The 16111-nt window shown below is 48.7% G+C and overlaps 1 protein-coding gene across 10 annotated transcripts in view, besides 1 other annotated feature; it reads right to left on the reverse strand.

Annotated features, from left to right (window-relative positions):
* The window catches only part of CPT1A (carnitine palmitoyltransferase 1A), an 89658-nt gene that overhangs the window by 37750 nt on the left and 35797 nt on the right, over window positions 1–16111 (reverse strand). For 8 of the 10 annotated variants that reach the window (NM_001031847.3, NM_001440360.1, NM_001440358.1 and 5 more), the window contains 6 exons: window positions 15098–15269; window positions 11631–11732; window positions 6849–6986; window positions 4487–4564; window positions 2435–2542; window positions 946–1033 (listed from right to left, as the gene is read on the reverse strand). In NM_001031847.3, the coding sequence (NP_001027017.1) occupies window positions 946–1033; window positions 2435–2542; window positions 4487–4564; window positions 6849–6986; window positions 11631–11732; window positions 15098–15269 (686 nt within the window). The remainder of the gene's footprint in view (window positions 1–945; window positions 1034–2434; window positions 2543–4486; window positions 4565–6848; window positions 6987–11630; window positions 11733–15097; window positions 15270–16111) is intronic. The other 2 variants (NM_001440363.1, NM_001440365.1) reach the window with 2 other exon arrangements.
* Window positions 6044–6543: an enhancer, noted in NCBI's record as "H3K4me1 hESC enhancer chr11:68565881-68566380 (GRCh37/hg19 assembly coordinates)". NCBI's record gives its function as "activates a minimal SCP1, AML or CMV promoter by ChIP-STARR-seq in primed H9 embryonic stem cells {active_cell/tissue: H9 hESC(primed)}" and the evidence as "EXISTENCE:reporter gene assay evidence [ECO:0000049][PMID:30033119]".

Raw genomic sequence — 16111 nt, forward strand, 5'->3', positions numbered from 1 at the left:
TCTGGCCCTTTCCAGCCAGCTTCCCAAGCAGCCCCGAGGCCCGCCCGTCATACAGGCCTGCCATGATGGTCTTGGGCTCTAGCTCACCAAGTGTCTCTGGGTAGTTCCCCATCCACAGGCACCTGGGGAAATGGAGGCCATGGACAGCACAGCCTGGGCCTGGGCCTGGCCTGGATGTTCCCCACGGTGCCTGTTCTCCCTCCCTGTCATTCTCAAGGACGTCCTGGTTTGGACGGTGGCTTACGTGGCCACCCTGCCCAGGTCAGGCAGCTGATAAAGGAGTGGCTGGAACACAAATCCACCTTTCCGAGCACGACCCAGTGTGCGTTCCATCACAAACGCTGACTGTGAGCCGGAGTAAAATGCCCCTGAGGAATCCAGACTCAGGAAAAAAACACTCAGCTGTGTGTGACTCACGCCTGTAATCCCAGCACTTCGGGAGGCCGAAGCGGGCGGATCACTTGAGTCCAGGAGTTTGAGATCAGCCTGGGCAACACGGCAAAACCTCATCTCTATAAAAAATGCAAAAATTAGCCAGGCATGATGCATGTGCCTGTGGTCTCAGCTACTGGGGAGGCTAAGATGGGAGGATTCCTTGAGCTCAGGAGGTGGAGGCTGAAGTGAGCCGTGATCATGTCACTGCACTCCAGCCTGGGTGGCAGAGAGAGACCTCATGTCAAAATAAATAAATAAATAAATAAATCAAACACTCTATGAGACAGTTGGCAGTCTTCAACCAAAGAGAAATTAAAATCTGGAAATAAGTCAACAACAGTGTCCAGGCCTAAGACAGACAAAGGAAATTCAGCAGAAGGAATGTTCACCAGCCTACAATCTCAGGAAGGGTCAGCAAAAATCAATTTGGCCCCTTTGACACTTCCTAATTCTGAGCATAGGGATGGAAAGTGCCGATTCTCCAGGGGGCCCTGAAGAAGCTTGACTCACCTGTCTCCTCTCCTGGGATCCGGGAAGTATTAAACATCCGCTCCCACTGAGCGGAGCAGAGTGGAATCGTGGATCCCAAAAGACGAATCTGTAACAAAAATATATTTCAAACCAACAACGAAAATCCCACAGAAGAAAAGCAGCAAGTTGGCCGGGTGCGGTGGCTCACGCCTGTAATCCCAACACTTTGGGAGGCTGAGGCGGGCGGATCACGAGGTCAGTAGATGGAGACCATCCTGGCTAACACAGTGAAACCCCGTCTCTACTAAAAATACAAAAAAATTAGCCGGGCATGGTGTCGGGTGCCTGTAGTCCCAGCTACTTGGGAGGTTGAGGCAGGAGAATGGCATGAACCCGGGAGGCAGAGCCTGCAGTGAGCTGAGATCGTGCCACTACACTCCAGCCTCGGCAACAGAGCGAGACTCTGTCTCAAAAAAAAAAAAAAAAAGAAAACAAAAGCAGCAAGCAGCAAGCAAGTTAAGACCACATGGAAATGCTGAATGTGTTTTCTGTGCGAATTGCTTCGTTTGACTTCCTCTTTTCCAGTGGCTCACTGGAATGATTCGTTGGGGGACTCATTAAACCATGCCAGGGTGCAACTTCCTGCACAGTTAAATCCTAAATAACACATTCTAATTGATTATTGATAACTGACACTTACAACCAAAGAAATATTCCAGGAAGAAAAGTCTTGTTTCTTATGAGCAACTAAGCAGCTAGTATTAGTTCAAAAACATCAAGGGCTTCTCCAAAGGGCAGATTACAGAATTAAAGTACAACAGATGTATATTCATTTAGGAGACACAAGGAGAATTACATCTCAGAATAATTAGGCTGGGTGAAAGAAACTAGAATTCCGAAAAAAAGAGTGCATACTGTTATGATTCCACTTACACAAAGCTTTAAAAATTGCAAACTAATCTAGAGTGACAGATAGTAGACCAGGGGGTCCAGGACCAGGTGGGAGGGAGAGATGACAAAGGGCAGAGGGGTTTTCGGGTTGACTGATGTATTCACCATCCTGACTGCAGTGATGATGGTTTCTCAGATGCATCAATATATACACATCAGAAGTTAGCAAACTCTACACTTTATTTTTTAATTTTTTTTTTTGAGATGGAGTTTTGCTCTTATAACCCAGGCTAGAGTGCAATGGTGTTATCTTGGCTCGCTGCAACCTCCACCTCCTGGGTTCAAGTGATTCTCCTGCATCGGCCTCCCGAGTAGCTGGGATTACAGGCGCGTGCCAGCACGCCCAGCTAATTTTTCTATTTTTAGTAGAGACAGGGTTTCACTATGTTGGCCAGGCTGGTCTTGAACTGCTAACCTCAGATGATCCGCCTGCTTTGGCCTCCCAAAGTGCCAAGATTACAGGCGTGAGACCCTGTGCCCGGCCACAAACTGTATATTTTAAACATGTGCAATATGTCAATTATACCTCTGTAAAGCTGTTTGAAAATAATTTTTTTAAAGCAATTTGTTTGCCTACTGGTTTGATTTCCTCCCGGTCCAGTTTGCGCCTGTAAAGCAGGATGGCATGGATGGCGTTGCCGGCTCTTGCTGCCTGAATGTGAGTTGGAAGGATATACAGCAGATCCTGAAAAGCGACAAAGGTGGAGAGAATTTGCATAGGGAAAGATAAGCAAATTTAAATAATCACAGCACATCCTGCACACTGTCACAATATTTCTAGAGATGCATCAATATACATACATATTCGGTTACATCTGCAATGCTACAAAATAAATGGTAATTTGATTTTCTCCACTTTGACTTTGTAAATGTTTTATGAGAACATAAGTCCTCTAAAACTTCTGCGCTATTAAAGATAACTATTTGCACCAAATACCCTCACGTAACACAGAGAAAGGAAAGCAAAAATTAGTCGGGGAGCAATTAGACAATCAGGAAGTTTTCTGGATGAGACACAATGAAAGGTTAAAATAGTTGTTTATATAGAGCTGTGCCTGCAGCTTTCTAAATTTTGAGACCCTGTTCCAAATGTCTGCATTTTCCACAATTGGAAGAAAAGGCCAAGGAACACAGGTCTAACCTACATTTTGGAAGAGTCTATGTACACACCATGTCCCCATTGATGTAGAAAGTGCCTCTGTTTGTGGGAAATAAACAAAGGTCTCCTGGCGGGAAGGGCATCAGATAAATAGCTCACTTCCAAATAGAGCAGGAAAAGAAGTTCTATGGACTACACTAACGGTTTTTCTTTCAGTTTGAGATTATTTCAGATGGGAAAAAAAAAGTTAAGAGAAAAAGAAAGGACAATTTTGAAACGAAGAAAAACAGAAAGAAAAAGCAAATGATAGGCCAGGTGCTCATGTCTGTAATCCAGCACTTTGGGAGACCGAGGCGCACGGATCACCTGAAGTCAGGAGTTTGAGACTAGCCTGGCCAACATGGTGAAACCCCGTTTCTACTAAAAATACAAAAATTAGCCGGGCGTTGTGGCAGGTGCCTGTAATCCCAGCTACTCGGGAGGCTGAGGCAGGAGAATTGCTGGAACCCAGGAGGCAGAGGCTGCAGTGAGATGAATTGCACCAGTGCACTCCAGCCTCAGCGACAGAGCAAGACTCTATCTCAAAAAAAAAAAGAAAAGAAAAAGTAAATGATTAAAAAATAAACGAGGGAAAAAAATAAAAGGAAGTGAAGGAATGGAAGGAAAAGGAAAGAGAAGAGTTCTATTTGCCAGTTATTAAAGCAGTGGTCAAGAACACAAACTGAGAGGCCTTCTAACCATCCATGCTTTGAAAGACAAAGCCCAGGAAACCAGAAACTACCGTCGATGCACACCCCTCTGGCGTCTCAGAAAACAGTAGGGTGAAGCGCAGCGCACTGGTGGCAGGATCTTGGCCAACCCACTGTCCCTGAGCTCTAGGGGTTCTGCAGGGATCTTAAGGCCGCTGTGGCACCAAGTTCCAGTGCTAAGCCATAAAAACAGCAGGACAGGCCGGGCACGGTGGCTCACACCTGTAATCCCAGCACTTAGGGAGGCTGAGGCAAGTGGATCACCTGAGGTCAGGAGTTCGAGACCAGCCTGGATAACATGGTCAAACCCCGTCTCTACTAAAATACAAAAATTAGCTGGGCGTGGTGGTGGGCACCTGTAATCCCAGCTACTTTGGAGGCTGAGGCAGGAGAATCACTTGAACCTGGGAGGCGGAGGCTGCAGTGAGCCGAGATCGTGCCATTGCACTCCAGCCTGGGGGACAAGAGCAAAGCTCCATCTCAAAACAAAACAAAACAAAAAAACAGCAGGACAGGTACAGCACAGTGAGGAATTCCTGTTTGCCAGAAACTTATTTTTGCAACCCAAATCCCCCTGCAGTAGCAGAGCACCCTGGGCTACTAGGCTAACACTGAAGGGTACTCATAGGGTTCTCCGGCCTGGAAGCAGGACAGAGAGGAGCATGAGCCAATCCCCAGAGTTTTCCCAGGCCGTCCACAGGCCTGTGAAGACGCCACCTCTGTGGACAGACCCGCCGCCCCACCGTCCTCGTCAGACAGCAGCCCGGGCGGGTGGACTCACCATGGCATAATAGTTGCTGTTCACCATGAGCGGCCCTCGTCCTCGGAGGTAGATGTACTCCTCCCACCAGTCGCTCACCTAGTGGGCGCAAACACCAGACAAACCCGCAGGCTCAGCAGGGGCCAGGCAGGCTCCCTGGCAGCAGCCCAGAGCCGCGGGGAAGGGCAGGCAGTGCTTTTGGCAGACATTTCGGCGTCTAACAGGGGCCATTCCAGAACAGGGAACGCAGTCCTAACTAGATGGAATGCGACACCGTGGGAAATGAAAAGTGTTCTTTTTAAGTTGAGACAGGCAGAAAGAAGGTACATCACCTTCATTTTGTAGATGGTTCAAAAGGGAAATAAAAAGCCGAAGTGGGAGGATTGCTTGAGACCAGGAGTTCGAGACCAGGCTAGGCAACATAGCAAGGCTCTAGCCCTACATTAAAAATAAAAATAATAAATAAAATAAAAATTTAAAAATGTTTAAGAGACCAAATGGAAAGTAAATCATAAATGTCTGACTGCTAACATGTTTTAAAAACCAAAACTATGGGCTGGCCATGGTGGCTCACACCTGTAATCTCAGCACTTTGGGAGGTTGAGACAGGAAGATCGCTTGATGCCAGGAGTTTGAAGCCAGCCTGGGCAACATAGCAAGGTTCCATCTCTCCAAAAAATTTTAAGAAATTAGCCAGGTGTGGTGGCTCACGCCTGTAGTCTCAGCTACTTGGGAGGCTAAGACAGGAGGGTTACTTGAGCCCAGGGGTTCCAGGCAACAGTGAGCTATGATCGTGCCACTGCATTCCCACCTGGGCAACAGAGCAAGACCCTTTCTCAAATAAAAGAAAACAGAAACAAAGGCCAGGAGCGGTGGCTCACGCCTGTCATCCCAGCACTTTGGGAGACTGAGGCGGGCTGATCACTTGAGGTTAGGAGTTCCGGACCTGCCTGGCCAACATGATGAAACCCCGTCTGTACTAAAAATGCAAAAATTAGCCGGGTGTGGTGGCGGGTGCCTGTAATCCCAGCTACTCAGGAGGCTGAGGCAGGAGAATTGCTTGAACCTGGGAGGCAGAGCTTGCAGTGAGCCGAGATCGCTCCACTGCACTCCAGCCTGGGTGACGAGCGAGACTTTGTCTCAGAAACTAAAGAAAATAAAAGAAAACAAAGAAAAAACCAATGTTATGCAAAATTGCTCCACAGACTGCTTCCCAGGTCTGCCTGAAGAAGCCACCGTCCCAGTCCGTGGCACTAACCTGGTGTTCCGCAGGTGTTGTCTCTATTCCCTGGCACATGTGTCCTGAGGCCACCCAGAGGCAGTGCCCCCCAACCACCTCACAGCTGCTGTCCCTTCACAGCCTGCTGGACCCAGGGATCGCTTCCTTTCAGCTTTGTGCTGAAACACACGTACCTACAGAACAGTGCCCATGCAAGGGCCTCGTGTGCGGAGAGCTGTGCAGAGAGCTGACGTTTACCAGTCCAGCACACCGGTGCAGCCAGCGAATATGCCCGGCCCCCTGAGGCTAGAGAGACCCCTCCAGGCACTGCCCATCCACCCACCATGCCACGTCTAGCGCCACCTGCTGGTTCTGTCAGGGTCGCTTTGGACACCTTCTCTTCCGTGTTAGTTGTTCCTCAAAGCTAGACTCCCTCCCTTGCTTTGTCTGCCGGAGGCCTGCTCTTGCCCTCCCAGTACGTGGAAGCCCAGCCAGCTCCCCGCACACAGGGTGCCAGCTAAGACGCTTCGTTGGAGGAGATGCTCCTGGGACCACCGAGCCACACTCAACCCCAGGGAGGGGCGATCAGCACCGCCCTATCCCACACCATCCCTGCATCCACCAGCGAGCTCGGGAAGGATGCCCTTGGAATCAAGATAAACCAAAGAGGAGGATGGGAGCAGGTCTCTGGGGCAGCATGGCACTGCTGCAGGAGAAACAGCTCACGGGAGGACTCTCCGGGGAAGAGGGAGAGGGAGAAGCCTCCTGCGTGCAAAACACAGCATCGTGCTGGTGTACCTGCACTCAGGGTAAAACTGTCACTGTAGGCTGGGTGTGGTGGCTCATGCCTATGATCCCAGCACTTTGGGAGGCCGAGGTGGGAGGATCACTTGAGCCCAGGAGTTTGAGACCAGCCTGGTCAACATAGTGAGACTCTGTCTCTACAAAAAAATCCAAAAACCAAGAAACTGTCACTGTAACTACACGTCAGTCCTAACACACACACACTCCACTCTGCACAGAGGTAAAACTATAGCTGGAACTTCCTAGGGTGTGATTTTGGCTAATCCAAACTGTCATTTCAGCCCTGTTATCCCTGCCCCTCAAAATTAGCGTCTTCATACGGAAAAATTTCATCAAGAAAAACTGTGTATACAGACTTACGTAATTTGTAGCCCACCAGGATTTTAACTTCAAATACCACTGTAATCTTGGTCCAAGACCGACAGCAAAATCTTGAGCAAGTGCTGTCATCCGTTTGAAGTCTTCTTCCTTCATAAGAGGCCTCACCGACTGTAGATACTGGGATTATTGGGGGAAAAAAAAATCACCCAAGTTAAAACATATTAATCAAAGCCTATGTTTGCCTCACTTGTGCCTTAGGAAAAGTTCTAACACATTGAAAAGGTTTTAGGCTGGGCATGGTGGCTCATGCTTGTAATCCCAGCACTTTGGGAGGTCAAGGCCAGTGGATTGCTTGAGCTCAGGAGTTCAAGACCAGCCTAAACAACATGGTGAAACCCCATCTCTACAAAAAAAAACAAGACAAAAATTAGCTGGACATGGTGGTGCATGTCTGTGGTCCCAGCTACCTGGGGGGCTGAGGTTGGGAGGATCGCTTGAGCCCAGAAGGTTGCGGCTGCAGTGAGCCATGATCATGCCACTGCAACCCAGCCTGGGCAACAGAGTGAGACCCTATCTCAAAAAAAAAAAAGAAAAAGTTTAGACTCTTCCCCCAAGTTGGTCTTGGCAGTCCTTAGACAGGTAAACTCCCTTCAATGCTAAATGGTGTCATAGGGTAATGATAATTTAACAATTAAACTTTTTCTTCCTTTATTAGCTTTAAAAGTGTCCCAAATCCTGCATCACCAGAAAATCACCATTAAATTTTTAGAATTTAAAATAAATTCTAGAGTTGACAAGAAAAGTTAACAAGGAAATTTCAAGAATGTCTCTTATCTATTATTTGGCCCTTAATAAAAGATCTGTTCTGACCTAAGTAAGTTTTGATGACCTGCGATGGTGACCATGAGATGGGGCAGAGTCATGCTGAGAGCTGGGTGCTGGGGCTGGGCAGGTGCTCAGGCAGCAGGATGGGAACGAGGGGCTGGAATAGGTCACGGAACCAGGCTAAGGCCAGTGCCCCAGGTTCAGGGTTTCCAGCCCCCACCCCGCCTCGTCCTTTTACATGTGCTACTTTGGTTGAACAAATGCTCAGAGGTGGAAACACAGAGAGCAATTGTTTAAAAAGACACTCAAAAGCTTCTGCTACACACCTAAGCAAGCTCTTACAGAAAGTAACAGTGGTCAGGTGTGGTAGCTCACACCTGTAATCCCAGCACTTTGAGAGGCTGAGGTATGAAGAGTGCTTGAGCCCAAGCAATCTTGACCAGTTCAAGACCACCCTGGGCAACAGAGTGAGACCCCCCATCTCTGCAAAAAAAAAAAAAAAAAATACAAAAATTAGCTGGGTGCGGTGGCATGTGCCTGTGATCCCAGCTACTTGGAAGGTTGAGGTGTGAGGATCACTTGGGCCCAGGAGTTCAAAGCTGCAGTGAGCCATGATCACACCACTGCATTCCAGCCTGGGTGAGATGCTGTTTCCCCCAGCAACAAAAAGTAAAACTGTTGCTAACCCCACAATTTGTCATGACATATTTTAATCCGACAAGTTGTTTGTCTGCTGTAAAAAACAAAGCTTGGTGCAACAGTAATCTCTCTATAGTCCCTCCCTGTACATTGAAAAGTAAGACCCCACTCCCTTAAAAGGGCCAGCTGTAGCTGGGCACGGTGGCTTATGCCTGTAACCCCAGCACTTTGGGAGGCTGAATCAGGAGGACTGCTTGAGCCCAGGAGTTCAAGACCAGCCTGGGCAACATGGCAAGACCCTGTCTCTACAAGAAAGTATTTGCAGGCATAGTGGTGCACACCTGTGGCCCCAACTACTTGGGAGGCTAAGGCAGGAGGATCACTCGGGCCCAGGAATTCAAGGTTGCAGTGAGCTAGGACGGTGCCACTGCATTCCAGCCTGGGCAAGAGAGTGAGACTCTGTCTCCAAAAAAAAGGGGGAGGGGGCAGGTGTCAAGCATCTTGAGGCTTATTCAAAGTAAAATGCCCGTGAATGAGACAGAAAATCATGCCCTGAATGAGCTGAAGTGGAACCCCGAGCTACGCAACACAGACAGAGGTCACTGAAGGTCAAGCATCTCTTGCTCACCCCATCCTGCCAGTGGAACAGGGGCCGTCATCAGCCCTGATTTGCAAGCGTGGGCACAGAAGAGGAGAGATGGGGTGGGCCAGGTATGGTAGCTTGTGCCTGTAATCCCAGTACTTTGGGAGGCCAAGGTGGGCAGATCACTTGAGGTCAGGAGCTCGAGACCAGCCTGGCCAACATAGTAAAATCCTGTCTCTACTAAAAATACAAAAATTAGCCGGGTGTGGTGGTGCACATCTGTAATCCCAGCTACTCAGGAGGCTGAGGCAAGATAATTGTTTGAACTTGGGAGATAGAGGCTGCAGTGAGCTGAGATCATGCCACTGCACCCTAGCCTGGGTGACAGAGCAAGACTCTGTCTGAAAAAAAAAAAAAAGAGCAGAGATGGGAAGACCTTACCAAGGCCAACAGGGACTCAGTAACCAAGCCTGGATTCAAACCCTTAACCCGAGAAGTTTTTGCTTATTATTATAGTTTTAAAATTGGAGTCCCAGGATGTGGAAAAACTAAAGCACCCATGCACTGCTGGTTAGAATGCAAAATGGTGCAGCTGCGTGAGAGTCTCATGGTTCCTCAATGAGTTACCACGGAATTCCCATGAGCCAGCAATTCCACTCCTGGATACGTCCCCAACAGCGGATGAACAGGTGGATAAACTGTGGTCCTTCCATACAATGGAACACTATTCAGCCACAAAAAGGGATGAAGTTCATCCATCCTACAACACGGGTGAACTCTAAAGACATGCTAGTCACAAAAGGCCACGTGATTCCATTTATGCGAAATGTCCAGAAGAGGCAAATCCATACAGACAGACAGGAGATTAGTGGTTCTGAGGGGCTGGGAGAGGGAGGTAGAAGGATGGGGAGTGACTGCTTAGTGGCTATGAGCTTTTGGGGGATGAAATGTCCTGGAACGAGACAGCAGTGAGGGCTGCGCAACATTATAAATGTACTTAGTGCCCCTGAACTGTACACTTGAAAATGGTTAACAGTACAATTCATGTTGTGTACATTTTACCATAATTTTTTTAAAAACAAAGAAATGGAGCTGCTCCCTCTCCTTTTGTTCAATTAAAGAAAAAAAAAGACCGAAGCAGGTAGATCACTTGAGCTCAGGGGTTCAACACGAGCCTGGACAAGACAGTGAAACTCCGTCTCTGGAAAAAAAAAAAAAAAATAGGGCCAGGCGTGGTGGCTCACACCTGTAATCCCAGTACTTTCGGAGGCCGAGGCAGGCAGATCACGAGGTCAGGCGATGGAGACCATCCTGGCTACAGTGAAACCCCGTCTCCACTAAAAATACAAAAAAAAAATATTAGCCAGGCGTGGTGGCAGGGGCCTGTAGTCTTAGCTACTCAGGAGGCTGAGGCAGGAGAATGGTGTGAACCCAGGAGGTGGAGCTTGCAGTGAGCCAAGATCACGCCACTGCACTCCAGCCTGGGTGACAGAGCGAGATTCTGTCTCAAAAAAAAAAAAATATTGCCATATGTAGTGGCATGCACCTGTAGTCCCAGCTACTCAGGAGGCTGAAGTGGGAGGATCATTTGAGCCCAGGAAGTTGAGGCTGTGGTGAGCCAAGATCGCGCCACTGCACTCTAGCCTGAACAACAGGGTGAGACCCTGTCTCAAAAAAAAAAAAAAAAAAAAAAAAGAAAATGAAAAAGAAATGAGTAGCTTTGAGGATGAAATGACAGGCTTTCTAGGTAGTGCCTTGCCCCTGGGGGCCTGGCTTTGAAGTGCGGCTGCTGTGTCAAGAAGCACCCTGTCCTCAGACCGGCTAGAAGCTGACTATCACCCCACCCTCAGCTGGTGACCCTCACCAATCAGATCAAAAACATTCGCCACCCAGCAACAGATGAACGGATAAATAAAATATGGTCTAGCCATGCAATGGAATACTATTCAGCCATAAGAAGGAGGGAAATTCTGACACAGGCTGCTATGTGTATGAACTTTGAAGACATTTTGCTGAGTGAAAGAAGCCAGTCACAAAAGGACAAATATGATATGATGCCACTTATATGAGGTCCCTCAGATTGGCAAATCCAGAGGCAGAAAGTAGAAGAGAAGTTACTAGGTGGGGGGAGGGAAGAATGGGGAATGACTGCAATCATTTAATACAATGTTGTATTTAGTAATTATGTAAAGTAGCAAAAACTGGCCTGGTGCAGTGGCTCATGCCTGTAATCCCAGAACTTTGGGAGGCTGAGGCGGGTGGATCACTTGAGGTCAGGAGTTCGAGACCAGCCTGGCCAACATGGTGAAACCCTGTCTCTACTAAAAATACAAAAATTAGCCGGGCGTGGTGGCAGGTGCCTGTAATCCCAGCTACTCGGGAGGCTGGGGCAGGAGAATCACTTGAACCTGGGAGGCGGAGGTTGCAGTGAGCTGAGATTGCACCACTGCATTCTAGCCTGGGTGACAGAGGGAGAGTCCATCACAAAAAATAAAATAAAATAAAATAAAATAAAATAAAATAAAATAAAATAAAGCTTTAAAAAATTCACAAGCAGTTTCTCTATGAAACCTGACACTTTTTAAAAAACACCTAAGATGCAGCAGTGATGCATTGGAGAAAAAAAAAAAAAAGAGTTCCTATGAGAACCCTACCAGGCACACCGCTGAAGGCTACTTGAGCCAAATGGCGGTGACCTAGTTCATCATAATTAAGACCTAAGCCTTAATCCACAGATGGCTGGCATTTCAGTGTGAGGCCTAAGCCACACCTACCCTGTTCACAGTGTCTTTGACAGCCGGGACCGGCAGGCGAGGCAGCGATGTCTGGAAGCTGTACAACATGGGTTTTCGGCCTGAAAAGATCTTGACCATACCCTGAAGAGAGAGAATTATATTTTCAGACTACTGCCATACTACTCTGAAGGCACCTGTTCTCGTCTGATCTCGTGAAGCTAAGCAGGGTCAGTCCTGGTTAGTACTTGGATGGGAGAATGACCATTTCAAAGACAAGGCTATGTTAAAGATCCGAAGCCACTTTTCCCGTGCGCACAATGTGCCAACCACTTACTGATTTTCTGTGTCGATTTATTTTTCATCTGGTCCATCTTTTACCCGCCCCATACTTACAGGTTCTAGCAAATAAGCATATAACCCTGCCCTCCATGCCAATAAAAGCCTGGGCAACATGGCAAAACCCCACCTCTACAAAAAATTAGCCAGGCATGGTGGCATGTGCCTGTTGTCTCAGCTACTTGGGAGGCTGAGGTGAAAGGATTGATTGAGCCTGGGAGGGTGATGCTGCAGTGAGCCATGATCATACCACTGCACTCCAGCCTGGGCAACATAGTGAGACCCTATGTCAAAAAGCAAAACAAAAACAAACAAACCAAAAAACCAGGTAGAATCAAAGCCAAGCCTGACAGAGGCCGTGAGATGTCGCTGCCAGCGTCGTGACTGGCCAGGACCCTGACCGTGCTTCTGCACCTAGGGTGAGTCTCACCCCACCTCCTTCCGCAAGGCCCTTAGTTTCGGGATGGGCTCCAGGCTCTAGGAACAGTGAGGAGGGTCAACGTGCCTGGCCCTGAGCCAAGCCGAGGGGAAGCAGTTTCTTTCCTTCAGTCATTGCCAAGTCTCCCAAAGGACACATCTGTGGCCCTTGGTTTTAGGCTGGATGATCAAGCCTGTATAATAACCAGTCACCTCAATGGCAACCAAAACAAAGGCAGTCCTTGGGCCCAGGCGGGGAGTCTTGGTACTGCAGGGCATTGGGACTCAGCTGAACCTCAGCTGTGAACCCACTGGAGGGAGTGCCCTTTAGCCTGCTTTGCCAAGTGTGGGAGCCACCCCTGAGTCTCTTCTAGGTGTTAAATTCTGCTTCTCTAGAAATCAGAAATTTTATATCCAAATGGTAGAAAATTGATTTGAGAGAAAAAATTGGTTTGGCTGGGTGTGGTGGCTCACGCCTGTTGATCCCAGCACTTTGGGAGGCCGAGGAGGGTGGATCGTTTGAGCCCAGGAGCTCGAGACCACCTGGCCAACATGGCGAAACCCTGTCTCTATTAAAAATACAAAAAATTAGCTGGGCGTGGTGGTGTGTGCCTGTGGTCCCAGCTACTGTGGAGGCTGAGGTGAGAGAATCGCTTGAGCCCGGGAGGCGGAGGTTGTAATGAGCCGAGATTGCACCACTGCACTCCAGCCTGGGTGACAGAGCAAGATGCTGTCTCAAAAAAAAAAAAAAATTTGTTTGGCAAAGAGTGGAGTCCCGGTGTGTGGTGGGCACTGCAGTGACTCCCATGCTTCTCTCACAAGCAGGCTCCCCCAGAGGTTGGGACAGCAGCCCAGTCCAGGCAGGCACCACTGTGGGGGCCATCCCGAGGCGACCAAGCAGAAGGGCACCGGGGCCAAGGTCGGGGCAGACAAGAAACCAAAGCAGACCCACGGCTTCGTATACACCGGCAGACCCACGGATCAGCCCCATTCGAGAAAGATTCTGCAGAAAATGTTTCCATGATGACCTGGTCCATTACAACCATTTAGGCCACTTGGCAAGACAGGGGTGAATAAAGCAGATGTTTCTTTACACACATCTGGCCCCAGAAACCCAGGTTGGGCTTGAGGTGCCGAGCAAAGCCCAAGGCCCAGGGCCATGACTACAATGGGCAGATGGTACACGGGGCACACACCCGCCTGCAGGGGGTCACAGGGGCCCCAGCCCCCCAGACGGAGGCCTCGAAAGTCCAGAGACGATGCCCATCTTGGAGGGTTGATTTTCAGAAAAACTAAGCCCATAAATTTTTTTTTTTTTTTTTTTGAGACAGGGTCTGGCTCTGTCCCCTAGGAGTGCAGTGACACAACCACAGCTCACTGCAGCCTTGACCTCCTGGGCTCAAGCATTCCTCCCACCTCAGCCTCTCAAGTAGCTAGGATTACAGGCATGCACCACCACGCCTGGCTAATTTGCCTGGCTAATTTTTGTATTTTTAGTAGAGACGTCTTTTTGCCATGTTCCCCAGGCTGGTCTCAAACTCCTGAGCTCAGGTGGTTCACTGGGCTTGGCCTCCCAAAGTGCTGGGATTACAGCCATGAGTAGCCATGCCCAGCCCCCATAAAAACATTTAAATTGAGACCGGGTGTGATGGCTCATGCCTGTAATCCCAACACTTTGGGAGGTCAAGGTGGGCCGATCACTTGAGCTCAAAAGTTTGAGACCAGCCTGGCCAACAAAACCCCGTCTCTATTAAAAATATAAAAATTAGTCAGCCATGGTGGTGTACACCTATAGTTCCAGCTACTCAGGATGCTCAGGTGGGAAAATCACTTGAGCCTAGGAAGTCGAGGCTGCAGTGAGCCGTGATGGTGCCACTATACTCCAGCCTGGGCAATGGAACAAGACCCTGTCTCAAAAAGAAAAAAAAAAAAAAAAAAGCTGGGTACAGTGGTTCACACCTGTAATCCCAGCACTTTGAGAGGCCAAGGCAGGATCACCTGATGTCAGGAGTTCAAGACCAGCCTGACCAACATGGTAAAACCCCGTCTCTACTAAAAATACAAAACTAGCCAGGCATGGTGGTGCATGCCTGTAATCCCAGAAACTTGGGAGGCTGAGGCAAAAGAATTGCTTGAACCTGGAAGGGCAGAGTTTGCAGTGAGCTGAGATCACACCACTGCACTCCAGTCTGGGCAACAAGAGTGAAACTCCATCTCAAAAAAAACTAAAATGAAAAAATATAAATATAAATAAAAAAGAAAAACATTTAAATCATGAAATTTGGACAAGCATCCACATATATGGCAAAGCCATTACCTTAAATAAGGGACCCTTGGGCTGAGGGCCAAAGCAAGCTGGAGGAACATTCCAGAAGCTAAGTCTGAGTCACGGGAGCCTGTCTGAGGGGTCAGCTAAGGTAACCATTTAATGCCTGACAACAAGTGAGTCAAGAACACTACAAAGAACCGGATGGACAGCACTTTTATTTGATGAATGACCTGAACTACAAACCGAGCAGACCTCAATATAAAATGCTGCAGGTCTCACTAATGTCACAAAAGAGAAGCACTCTTTGGCCCCTGCTTTTGTGTCATGGTGACTCAAACCTCTCCAGCCATTCAAGGTTGAGGCCCAAGTCACCAACCAAGCATAGAGGGAGAAAAGGTCGCAGGGGTGTCCTTCCGCAGGGGTGTCCTTCTTCCCAAAGCCCAAACTGTCCACCCCCTCCACAGCCAGAGGGACACGCAATTACCATCCAGATCTTGGTGGCACGACTCATCTTGCCGTGCTCAGTGAACATCCACCCGTGGTAGGAGAGCAGCACTTTCAGGGAGTAGCGCATGGTGACGATGAGGGCCACCCACAGGCCGGTGCCAAACAGCACGCCGCTGACCACGTTCTTCGTCTGGCTGGACATGCAGTTGCTGTGGAGACAGACCCAGACAAGGGAGGCTGTGCGTGAGGCCACACGGTGCCACCAACACCACCGGTGACGCCACAGACACCACGTGCTGCAGGGTCCAGCAGCCTGCCCCAGGTACAGCCGGGAAAGTCAGAGGGAGAGCACTTGCAGGAACTGAGCTCTTAAAACACTCACGGGCACTCTCCTCCTCACCCCAAAACCAATCACGCCGAAAGTAGCTGGCAGACCCAGGCGCCCGGGGCGGGCCTGTTTGCTCTCTTCCCAGAGGTCCCTTCAGCCCGATCTGCTCGGGTGGCCTCGAAACCAACCAGGGCTAATTTGTGTCTTCTGGAAAAAGATACAGCTTCCTCCAGGACCTCAGGACCAACGGCAGAGGGGATGCTGTGAGGCCAGGACCTGGCCACCGTGAGAGCCATGCCCTGCCGACCTGTGCGTCCCCGGCAGGTGCGCAGGAGATTCTGGGCCACTTTCTTCAGCTCTTGATGAATTTTTTTCTCTCAAACTTACTTTTAGATGTAATCGTAATCTCAAATTATTTGTTACAACTGTTACCTCCAGTATTTATATCAAAAGAGCTTGTTTTTGACTTAGGTGTATTTAACACAAATAAAGAAACGGACTGTGTAAAACGGTCATGTAAATATTCAACTTAAATACAGGAAATGTTTTTGTTTGTGAAGGAAGGTAGTATATATTATGGTAAAGATGGGACTTTAAAAATGAGATGAAATTCAGCTTTTTTTTTTTTTTCGAGACAAGAGTCTCGCTCTGCTGCCCAGGCTGGAGTGCAATGGTGTGACCTTGGTTCACTGCAACCTCCGCCTCCCAGGTTTAAATGATTCT

This window comes from Homo sapiens, chromosome 11, assembly GCF_000001405.40.
Source record: "Homo sapiens chromosome 11, GRCh38.p14 Primary Assembly".
Classification (NCBI taxonomy): Eukaryota; Metazoa; Chordata; class Mammalia; order Primates; family Hominidae; genus Homo; species Homo sapiens.